The following is a 12453-nucleotide window of genomic DNA, read 5'->3' as shown; positions in this document are numbered from 1 at the left end:
GTGCTTTCTTCTACTGGTGTAAATATTAGAGAATTGACTATTATTATTCATCATGCATTCTTACCTTCTATCCACTGTGTTAAAATTGGAGTCAGATACCTGTTCTTTCTACACCATGGCTAAGGATTAAGTTACAGACAATCGTAGACAGACAGATTGGTGCCAATGTGTGGACCACTAGAGTTGAAAAGCCTTATGGAATGGGGGTGGGGGGTTGTGTTAAACTCATATTCATAAAAATTGAGATTGGTCAGGCACAAGTGGTGGCAGAGAAAGCAAATCCGAATAGAAGTCAGCCAGTCAACATTACTGAAGGTAAGTAACGGGGATTGAGGTACTCTTGATCCCTCCCCAACTTAGCTCGTATTTCTCCCAACCTCTGGTGGAGGTTCTTCCCAAAGAAGCCTGCCTGCACTGGCCATCATCACTGGCAGTTGTATAAACAAAGCAGAACTATTAAAAAATAAAAACTTTATGCTTCAAAAGTGCTTCTTAGCTCAAGAGATTTGGTGAGCCAAGTCATCATTCAGTTATTCAGCAGCATAAGCCTCTTCATAATTTTGATCATGTCTCCTGGCTACCTCTGTATTATCATGCTGAAAAAACTTTTTTTTTTTTTTTTTGGAGCCTGCCATCAATGGTTTAATTGCCCTTCTTTGTTCCCCTTAAGCTCTCTTCTGTCCTTGAGATGTGCAGATCAGAGCTGCTTATGTAACTTTACCAATAAAGATATCCTGCAGTTCTATGTAAAAGGAGAATTATTTTGTTTTTCTTTTAATCCCTTTCTTAACAGTGCCTGATTTTGTTACCCTTTTTTTTTTTTTTTTACCATAACAGAAAACTAGGTTGTTCTCTTCAGTGCACTGTCCACAGTGTCTCCTCGAGCCCTTTCCTGGGTCTTAATTGAAAGGTCAGCACTCATCATCCAGCAAGTATAGTTTGTAATATCTAGTGCTCCCTAGATGGATCACCCTAAATGGATCACCTTACATGTACCCCTTACAAAGCCCTAAATGGATCACTTTACATGTGCCCCTATTGAAGGTTATCTGCCAATCATAAAACCTCCTGAGATCTTCTTTATCTCCCATCAACTTGGCATTTCACTGCCTGGGAAAGCTGAGTATTATCTGTAGACTTGAGGATTTTCCAGTGCCCACCCCCAAGGAAGTCTATTTATCCTTCTTCAGTCAGAAAAAATATCTGTTTCTACCCTATATTTTCTCTTTTTTTTCTGTAGACCAGTTCCTACTACATGATAAAAAATATTTTAAATCCCATGGTAATTCATGTTTAAAAATAGCCTTGGTATCAAACCTAATCAGAAGCATTTTTAAAGTAAGTTTAGCCCCAAGGAAAAGATCTGTAGAAGATTACACATGATTTCGCTTTACAAAAAGCATGATGCCACCCACATCCCAATAGATTGATGGCTTTTGTGTACAGGAGGCTAGCATTTATTAAAAATTCTTCCAGCTTGCCTACTGAAGAACCAGACACTCATCAGTTTATAGTTCCCAGGGCCCCTTTGCCTGTGGACCCACATTGGCAATGCAAGCCACACAGTGATCATCCAGAATAACAGGTTCCAGGTTTTCATTAGAGGTATAATAATTTTTTTTCTTTGCTTTCCTTCAGAAGTCAAGTCTGGTCAGGGCATTATGTGAAGGCACCTCTGATTCCAAGGGTACCAAGGAGGCTTCCTGGCCCAAACATCTCTCCTATCTGTTGGATTAATACCTGAAATTCCTTTAACAGGAAACATACTTTTATTCTACAATTAGAAATAGTCCTTAAAACGAAATTTTGGCACAACCTCTCATCCTCACCCCTGCTGTACTATAGAAGTATAGTTTCACAGAACCTTTCTTTTTTGGGGTTGTGGACAGGGTCTTCCCCTGTTGCCCAGGCTGGAGTGCAATGGCATGATCACAGCTCACTGCAGCCTTGACCTCCTGGATCCAAGTGATCCCCTTGCTTCAGCTTCCCAAGTAGCTGGGGCAAACAGGCACACGATACCACATCTGGCTAATTTAAAAAAAAGAAACTTTTAGTAGAGATGAGGTGTAGCTTCACAGTGCCATTCTTGAGAATGAATTGTGAAAGGGTCAGAGCATGAGCTCCTTGAGTATTCTGAGGAGCAGGAATTGCCTAGTGGAGCAGTAGAGGGAAAGGGGTACCAAAAACCACAGCGATCTTTGCCAAGAGTTTTGCAGAGGGCCAGCCCTGGTAACTAGATCACTCAGTCCCAGGCATTATGCCTTTGAATACTTCTGGTATGTGGCTTGGAAACAGTCTCTTACACATTTGCCATTGTTACCTCTGACCCTTCTGCCTACCTCAAAAGATATATTACACAGAGGAATGGCTTAATCTTTTTGTAAAAAGTCATTTAGTTTATCTACTATCTTCTTTTCATCCTTTTATTTTATTTTATTTATTTATTTTTATTTTTTTGGAGATGGTGTCTCACTCTGTCGGCGATCTAGGCTCACTGCAAGCTCTGCCTTCCGGGTTCACGCCATTCTCCTGCCTCAGCCTCCCCAGTAGCTGGGACTACAGGCGCCTGCCACCACACCCGACTAATTTTTTTGTATTTTTAGTAGAGACGGGGTTTCACCGTGTTAGCCACTATGGTCTCGATCTCCTGACCTCGTGATCCACCCACCTCGGCCTCCCAAAGTGCTGGGATTACAGGCATGAGCCACCACGCCTAGCCCCTTTTCATCCTTTTTATTTCATGACCCCACTGGTTCTCTGGCTCACTCCTTACTTGTGATGTGTAAAGGACCTCTTATTGCTGGTTCACTTATAAGATGCTCTCATTTTTATTTGCCACCCAATTTCTAGTTTGCTCATAAATTGCTCCTTTTTCCTTTTCCTTCTTTCTTTCTTCTTTCTTTTACTTTTCTTCCTTCCTTCCTTTTCTTGTCTTGTCTTTTCCTTTTCTCCTTTTCCTTCCTTTTCTTCCTTTGTTCTTCCCTTCCTCCCTTTCTTTCCTCCTCTTTTCCTTTCTAAAATGGTTTTTTCCTCTGCTGTAGCCTTTTTTACTTTGCCAGCTAGTCAGGCAGGAACTTAATGGTTTTAGTTTAAGCTTGAACATACCCCCTTCAGTTAAAAATTGGCTTAGAGTTTTTTTGTAATAGACTAGATATGGAATCTTTACATGAACATTTCCTAACACCAAAAGATCTCAAGCTCCATTTTATATAAATGACAGATTTCACAGTGAGATCTCCCTAGATCATTCAATTCTAAGGGCAAGGGCCACTAATTCCCAAAAGCTTCCCATAATTTTCATGAGAGCTGCTAGAGTTGGTATCACAAGTAGAGCCCTGTTTTAACCAGCATAAAGGAACATCATCAACATTGCTCTGGTAAGCATACCTCCTCCTTCAAATGGAAGCCTATAGTCCTAGTATAGAGATGATAGAGGTATACTATATTTTTTATGTATGTGAAGGCCTAAACCTGACCCCACCACCACCCCATCCCCGGGCCACACACGCATATACCCATGAAGGTTGGTGGGAAAGGGAGGCTGCTTTGCGAAAGGAAGGGTTTGCTAATTCCCAAGTTTTATCATCTGAGACAGGAAATATTACGCTGCCTATGTTTAACCCATTTGCTCTCTAAGTATAATATATTTGAATGCAATCTGAGATAGTCTTAATAATGTTTAATCTATTACCTAAAACTCTGTGTTGACAATTTTGGGAGCATTTATAGTTAAGGATTCTGAGAGAAAAGGACACTAACAAGTATGACCTTGCTGTTGGTTAAAGGGAGATTTTGATAAATAGTAGGGCACTATTCTGAAATCTCAAATCTTTCAGGATGACCCAACTACTTGTCCACTCTGAACTTCCATGACATATGTGAAGTTCGAATGAAGAAATTTAGAATTGTGCCAATACTTCTTAATTCTCATCCTACCTATCATTTTATAGCCCTAACAGCCAGAAAGTTTTCTTTACTAAATATCTGATTATCAATAGATATCGCATAAGAAAACCATATATGAAGTGCTTATAATGTGTATGGGTGAAGTTGACAGTTCAAAGTTTTGAAAAACAATCATGTTTTTTTAAGAATATTCAACTATTCAGCTTAGTAATTTCACCAAAAGGAAGATACATTGTTAAACAGACTTCTCAACAAATAGGACTTATAAAAGATTCTATTAAAATGGAGTTCTCATTCAGTAGCAGTGTTTATATCCATATAGGCAAAACTCCACTAGTTAGAGCTACCAACCCATCCAGAGAAATAGCCTTACTCTAGTGAACCAGAGTTCATAATAGTAGTCATTAAAATAAGAACCTACCTGTATTTGGTCCTTGGCCTATTTGCCTTGAGTTCTATGGCTTATATTGTATAGCTCAAAATTGAAAGAAACCTTTTCTTCCCCATCAAAGACTATTAACTTAAAAAAAATTCAGAGACTGCAGAAGTGAATAAACAACTTAAGATTCGTACCTCTTTCCTTTTATGGGAGAAATATTACACTTTTCTATTTTAAATATTTATTTTATAGCTCTTTAACTACTTTTCTGGAACATTAGTTCTGCTGTTAACAGCCTTACCCAAGTAGCCTACCCAGAAAGGATTTGCTCTCTAGGACAACAGCAGAGTCATTAAAGGAATAGCTCATTAAAGCCTAAGTTTTTATTCCTGGGTAGAATCTTTTTGTCTATCTATACTGAGCCCCACTGATACCCAACAAAGAAGAAAAAAATTATAGTATCTTTATATTATATGTTTATGGCATGATAATTTTTCTTAGACTCTGTCATTGCTTCTGAAATATATGTCAGTGGTATTTTAGGCATAGGATCAATTCCTGGGGTCTGGGGCCAAAATTCAGCTCTCTGAAGCCACTCTGACCTTCCTACAAAAGAGTTGAGCACCTCAAGTCACTTTATAAGGTGTGTTAGTCTGTTTTGCATTGTTATAAAGGAATACCTGTGACAGTTATTTATAAATAATAAGAGGTTAATTTGGCTCACAGTTCTGCGGACTGTAAAAGCATGGTGCCAGCATCTGCTCAGCTTCTGGTGAGGCCTCAGGAAGTTTACAGTCGTGATGGAGGGCAAAGGGGGAGTCAGCATATCACACAAGAGGGAGCAAGAGAAAAAGGAGGAAGTTCCAGGTTCTTTTAACAACCAGCTCTTATTAACTCATAAAGTGAGAATTAACTCATTACCATGAGGACAGCACCAAGTCATTCATGAAGGATCCACCTCCAAGACCCTAATACCTTCCACCACGCCCTACCTCCAACATTGGGGATCACATTTCAACATGAGATTTGGAAAGGACACACATTCAAACTATATCAATAGGGTTTTAAAAACATTAACCACAAGAAGGAGAGTTGGGGAAGGAGCTACCAAGCTACATAGTTTATTGTTTGCCTGATGCTGTGCTTAACATTTGACATGCATTCTTGTGTGTGTATCTTTAAGTATAATAAAAGCATTTTATTCATTCATTTGGCCAAAAAATGTATTGTCTCCTCTATGACTGGTACTTGCAAATGAGGCAGATGAGGCTCCTGCACCCTGGAGCTTAACTCTAAGGGAACCCTTGCCTGTGCCAGTAATTACACTAAACATTTACATTGCTTCATTTGATCCCTGCCGCAATCTATAATACCTACTAAAGTAGCTATTAGTATTGCCATTTTACAGTGGGAATTGTAATATGTTCTGATTTCTCATGAGATATGAGAAAACTGGAGAAAAGATTGACTTGCTTAAGGTCTCACAATTAGTAAATGGTGAAGCCTGTGTTTGAACCCACGTCTGTCTGCCTCTTAACTATTGACTATATTGTCCCCAAAGTTGTCACATGGAAGTGAGAAACTTAATGGTTGCAAACAAATTAAAAAACACCATCCCTGGGACTTCTTGGAAAACTTTATCTCAGGGGATTGCAGAAAATCCCCCCCCCCAAAATAGAAACCATTTAACTATGCAAATGAACCACATGATCCACAGTATATGCAATCCATTGTATTTGTTTGTGTAAGTGCAACTTAGATTTTTGCCCAAAAAAGAATTGTTTAATCTCAAGGATTTAATTTGTAATTTTATAGATAGAAAACAAGGATAAATATTGCCAGAATTAACTTCTTAGGTTTTCAATTCCTAAAGTTTGTAAACATGCAGATTCTGTAAAACCACCTTTCCCTTCATTTTCAATGGAGAAAATCCTGACTTCCTACTTTAGAAAGTGAATAGTGTCCCCTGTCATTTTACAGAGGTCTTCTCATGGAATTACATCTTTTTCATGTGGTTGTTTTAGATGAGTATAGCTAAAAATTTTTAACATCATGCATTTTTAAACTATAGGCAAAATTTATACCACCTCTTGGTCCTTGTGGAAGGCCATATCTGCATAAAGGGTAGAGATTCTCCATCCATGCTAAGCTGTTCAACCAGTACCAGTTGAATAAAATGAGGACCAAGGGACATCACTAAAGGGCATTTAAGGGAAGTGTTTCCTTTCACTATTGACTTACTGTTAATATTTAAAGAAGAGATGTTTTAATTATGATAGGTTTTTCTTTCATTATAATAAGTCATCTAGAATTTATCTTCCACCTGGGACTCCAGGTTATCATTCAATTTTAGAAGCAGGTAGGGCTGGGCACAGGTGGCTCACAGCTGTAATCCCAGCACTTTGGGAGGCCAAGGTGAGCAGATTGATTGAGGCTAGGGGTTCAAGACCAGCCTGGCCAACATAATAAAACCCCGTCTCTACTAAAAGTACAAAAATTAGCTAGGTGTGGGATTATAGGTGCGCACCTATAATCCCAGCTACTTAGGAGGCTGAGGCAGGAGAATCACTTGAACCTGGGAGATAGAGGTTGCAGTGAGCTGAAATTGTGCCACTGTACTCTAGCTTGTATGACAGAGTGAGACTCTGTCTCAACAACAAAAAAAAAAGGAAGCAGGTAGATCTTCAGTGAAAGAGAGCCGAAAAAGTGTAATTTACTCCTTTAGGCCTGGTGATGTGGCAAAAGCAATGCATACACACACATATTCATAAATAACTATTTTAAGCGATACAAATTTTTTAAAATTCTCTTTCATTTGATGAGAAGGGATGAACCCTCTAGAAATTTGCATGTGAGAACAAGTAATTATTTAGCCTTCCATCTTCATCCCTGATATGGTCTAGCTTTGTGTCCCCACCCAAATCTCATCTTGAATTGTAATCCAAATTGTAATCCCCACGTTTTGGGGGAGGGAATCATGGGAGGTGATTAGATCATAGGGGCAATTCCCTCATGCTGTTCTCATGATAGTGAGTTCTCATGAGATCTGATAGTTTTATAAGGGGCTTTCCCCCCTTCACTCTGCCCTTCCTCCTGCCGCCATGTGAAGAAGGACATCTTTGCTTCCCCTTCTGCCATGATTGTAAGTTTCCTGAGGCTTCCCCAGCCCTGCAGAACCTCTATAAATTACCTAGTCTTTTTTTTTTTTACTTTAAGTTCTAGGATATATGTGCAGAACGTGCAGGTTTGTTACATAGTTATATATGTGCCATGGTGGTTTGCTGCACCTATCAACCCATCATCTAGGTTTTAAGCCCCATATGCATTAGGTATTTGTCCTAAGGCTCTCCCTCCCCTGGCTCCCCACCCCCTGACAAGCCCCAGTGTGTGAGTTTCCCCTCCCTGTGTCCATGTGTTCTCATTGTTCAGCTCTCACTTATGAGGAAGAACATGCAGTGTTTGGTTTTCTGTTCCAGTGTTAGTTTTCTGAGAATGATGGCTTCCAGCTTCATCCATGTCCCTGCAAAGGACATGAACTCTTTCATTTTTATGGCTGCATAGTATTCCATGGTATATATATGCCACATTTTCTTTATCCAGTCTATCATTGATGGGCATTTGGGTTGGTTCCAAGTCTGCTATTGTAAATAGTGCTGCAATAAACATACATGTGCATGTGTCTTTATAGTAGAATGACTTATATTCCTTTGGGTATATACCCAGTAATGGGATTGCTGGGTCAGATGGTATTTCTGGTAGATCCTTGAGGAATCGCAACACTGTCTTCCACAATGGTTGAACTAATTTACACTCCCACCAACAGTGTAAAAGCATTTCTACTTCTGCACAGCCTCACCAGCATCTGTTGTTTCCTGACTTTACAGCAGCATGAGCACAAGCTAATACATTCCCCATTTCATTACAATCTAAGAACTGATAAAAAATTCTTTACAAACTTATTCTACCTCTCTTCAGTTGGGTCACAGCTACACTACCTTGATAATCACTAGCTCACTGTCGCCCAGTGATTAAGGTAACAGAAGCTGCTAATTCATTCTATAAGCCTTGCACTTTGAACTCAGCCCTCTGTAAGTAAGGTATTTGTGTTAAATGCTTTTGTTCTATTTAATAAACTTTTATCCTGCCTCTCCGGGGTATGGCAGATGTAAAATTACCTGTTGTTCTGGAAAATGGATGACTCAGACACTAATTAAAGTTACTGTTAATATTAGCCACAGGTGGAAATGAGGCCAAAGTGAGCCATTCATTTATTGTTCCTACTTTGATGTGTCTTTTAAAATATTAAATTCAAGAGGCACTAAGTGTGTCAGAATGTAGGATAATTAGGAAGAGGGAGATACTGTGCTTCACTGAGTTATCCTGAAACCTCAGTCAGTGAACTCACCCTGCCTGTCCTCAGGATTTGTTTAGGGTTGCAGTGGCGAACCGGTGTTTTCTCTCACCTAATCCTTAGGGCTTTAAATCCAGGTGGTTAGAGGGACAGTTCTTATATTCTCCTTCCTCTCTCAACTGATGTCTTTTATGACTGTTTGCTGAACTGCACGAAGTAGCCCTGCCATCATGACAGTCCCTCCCACCCTGAGTAAACAAGTCTTCATAGGTATATTGTTTCATTTGTATCAAGGAAGACAGTCTTCTGGAATTCTGTAGGTTTGTGCTGTTTCTCTGATGTGCCTCTTCTCTGGTCTCTTGTTATGCTGACTGATCCCTGCCTCCTGGAGCAAGTGACCTGATTCTTTGGCAGCAGTTGAATAAGTTCTGATGCTAGAACATGTTCTGAAGCTCTCCAGAGACAGGAAGACCTTGCTCCTAAATGGAAATCTTGAAAATTACACCCTTTAACATAACTCTGCTCTGAAAAGAACCCCAGACTTGACTATAATCTGGGCTTCATAGGATATTCTAACATCAAAATTCATATTATTCCTCTCAGCTGCTCTCCACCATGCACCCCACTAACCTCTGCCCTAATCCTCTCTCTCCCACATTCTTTAGTCACTGCTCTGTCCCTTCAGTGTAGCCTAGAAAAACTACTGTTTACGTTTTGCTTCGACATGTTATGGCTTTGAACGACTGTGCCTGACATTGCCATACACCTAGCAGCTGCCGAGACTGATGAGCTGCCTCGTTGGGATGTGTTGACAAGGACTATACAGAGATTTAGTTAAACCCAGTGTCCAGCACCTGATGAAAAAGCCTGATGTTACGTTGGCTGGACTTTGCTCTGTGTGCACTGTTAACCCATTGTACTACCAGGAAAGAGCCATGTCCATTGGTACTTAAAGAAGAACTAAAGGGCCGAGCACAGTGGCTCACACCGGTAATCCCAGCATTTTGGGAGGCTGAGGCGGGCAGATCACTTGAAGTCAGGAGTTCAAAACCAGCCTGGCCAATCTGGTGAAACCCCGTCTCTACTAAAAATACAAAAATTAGCTGGGCTTGGTGGTGCGTGCCTGTAGTCCCAGCTACTTGGGAGGCTGAGGCAGATTGAATCGCTTGAAAACCCAGGAGGCGGAGGTTACAGTGAGCCGAGATCACGCCACTGCACTCCAGCCTAGGTAACAGAGCAAGACTCCGTCAAAAAAAAAAAAAAAAAAGGACTAAAGGAAAGAACTCCTCAAAAAAAGCTATATCAAATAACCAGCTAACAAGTTAATAAGCAAAAGGGCACGTGTGTGTGCCAGGGGCTAAAAGCAATGTGTTTGCCTGGAGGTGATGCAAGTGCCATTGCATAGTGAGCCAGAAGCTAAGGGGTTTGTGTGCGCCAGCTCCGTGTTGAGGGGGATGGAGGAATAGAGAGGGGAGGGAGACCATCTTAAACGTGTTAGGGGTGAAGTGGAAAAATATCTATCCTATTTAAATACAGGCAAGCCTCACTAACTCAGCCTAATTAGAGGAAAGCCAGTCTGAATCATGGGATATTTTTAAATGCATTTTTATTACTTTCAAGCACTGGACATGCTAGTAATTCAAACTAGACTAACAGCATAGTACAGCACCTCAGGGAAGGGGCTTTAAGAATCATTTGTAATTAGCATATCAATTATTTGTATGTAAGTGGATATGCACAAAGTGCATAAAAAGTTTATTCTCCTAAGTAGGACAAACATTCCCCCGTGCAGTCCTGTTTACACTATTAATTTGCTTAGCCAGCCCTTTTTGTGCCAAGATAGATGTATGTAAGAAATGCTTATTTCCTCAGGGAAGAATGAATCGCTTCCCTGTGTTTAGTCCAGTAACTAAGAAGCGGAGCGCCACTTGATTGGTTTGGGATTTCCAGGACATGGAGTTTTGAATTTGCATACAGACTAGAGAGATTTCATATGGAGAAGATCTGGCAGCCATTGCCAGAGATCCAGTTTCCCCATCTGGATTTCATTGAAGTGATCTGGATTTCATCAAGCAACAGGACACTGATCCTAAATGATCCACCAGACACTCTAACATAGGCATGTTTAACATACATCCTGCCCTAGAAAAATAACTGTTAAAATATGATGAGTTGGAGTTATTCTATGTGCAGTACTTAAAAGTAATAAAAATGCATTTCTTTTTAAGTCCCACAAAAACCATGCAATGTCAAGTTAATGATGAAAATCAATCCCCAAACTCTTTCTTGCACACCTCATTGTATGACGGCATTGCAGAGATTTCCAATCATCTGGGAAAGGATATTATATTTTGATGAGCTGCACCAGGTGCTAACTATATGGCAGAATTTCGGCTTTGAATCTTAGGGAGGCCCTCAGGGGTAAAGAAGAGTGAGGGAAGGGCTAGGAGCATGTTTATTGTTAACAAATCACTATTGTTCACCTAAGCTTGAAAAGTGAGCAATTGAATTGGAAAAGAAGAGGTATCAGTTATATAAGGAAGGTAGAAAATGTGATTAGGAAATGAGAAACAGAGATATAGGCCTTTATTCCCACCCGTATGTATTAAACTGTGCTCTAGGTAAATTGTGAATTCTTCAAGGCTTAGAGAGTAAAAACTAAGGCAGAGAGCATAAGCACAAGCAGTAAATATACACGTAAATGTTCTAACTATAGTTTGGAATGACTCCAACACTCCCCTTTCCCCCAAGGGCATCGCTATCCAGGGTCTGCAAAGGCCAAATAGCTGTTTGGCTTCCAATCTGATTTTTTGCCTAAGAAATCAGAGAAGTCGGTTTCAATTTTAATAATATATTCTCCCAACCTCTATATAACAGAAAGGCACTTGTGTTTCTGTCCCTTCTTAAAGCGAATTTTGTGTTTGGTGAAAGGTAATAGATTGACAGCACTGGAAAATGAATTACTGTATTCCCAGAACAGGTATAACCGGGCAGTGACACGATGAAATTTCTCTCTGCCTTTGGGGACCATTAGAATACTATTCAGGAAGTCACTGCTCTGGTGTGCTGTGCTGAACTCACCAGTATCCTAGTGGGCTGAAAGAATTAACATAGCACTCAAAGGGCCTGACTTGAGGCCATTCATTTATTCATTCAATGTTATGGAGTGCTTACTATATGCCTGATGCTGGGAGAAGACTTTCACAAATGTTATATCATTTAATCCTCACAATAACCCTGTGAGGGAGAGAATATTATTGTTTTACAGAGAAGGAAACTGAGGTTCAGGGAAGTGATTTGTCCAAGTTGCTATACAAACACTGAATCCAACCTTATCTGACTCCAAATTCAGCATTCTCCCTGAACTGAGTGCTGTAGGGGTTGCAAAGGGGGACAGATGAGACATTTGGTCAAATGATGTGACACAGAGCAGAATGCAGTCTACACTATGAGCAGTCCTGGTAGTTACAGAGCAGTTAAATGACATACCCCAGATCAAATAGCACAGATAGCCTTAGGATTCATATTCTTTAGGTCTTCTTCCATTTTTTGTTTTTCAGCTTAGCTCTCCAAACCAGCCTACCACTTTGCCCACCCTACCCCCTGCCCAGATAATGTACACTCTGCTTGCTAGGTCCTCTGGCCTCTCAGAATGAAGATAGCCAAAGACCATTGGGATTTAGTAACAAGAGCATTGCATTCGAATTAGAATTAGTGTTCTAATTCTAGCTCTGACGATTCACTTCAGGCCACTGGTAAGGTGCCATGAAAACACTGGATGACTTTAATTCTGGATGACTCACTTTCCGTTGTGTGA

General features: G+C 40.3%; 1 protein-coding gene across 20 annotated transcripts in view; it reads left to right on the top strand.

The window, feature by feature from the left end:
- The window catches only part of HDAC8 (histone deacetylase 8), a 243328-nt gene that overhangs the window by 84285 nt on the left and 146590 nt on the right, over positions 1–12453 (top strand). The window lies entirely within an intron of this gene.

The sequence above is a fragment of the Homo sapiens genome, chromosome X (assembly GCF_000001405.40).
Source record: "Homo sapiens chromosome X, GRCh38.p14 Primary Assembly".
Lineage (NCBI taxonomy): Eukaryota > Metazoa > Chordata > Mammalia > Primates > Hominidae > Homo > Homo sapiens.
This window is presented reverse-complemented; position numbering and strand designations above follow the sequence as displayed.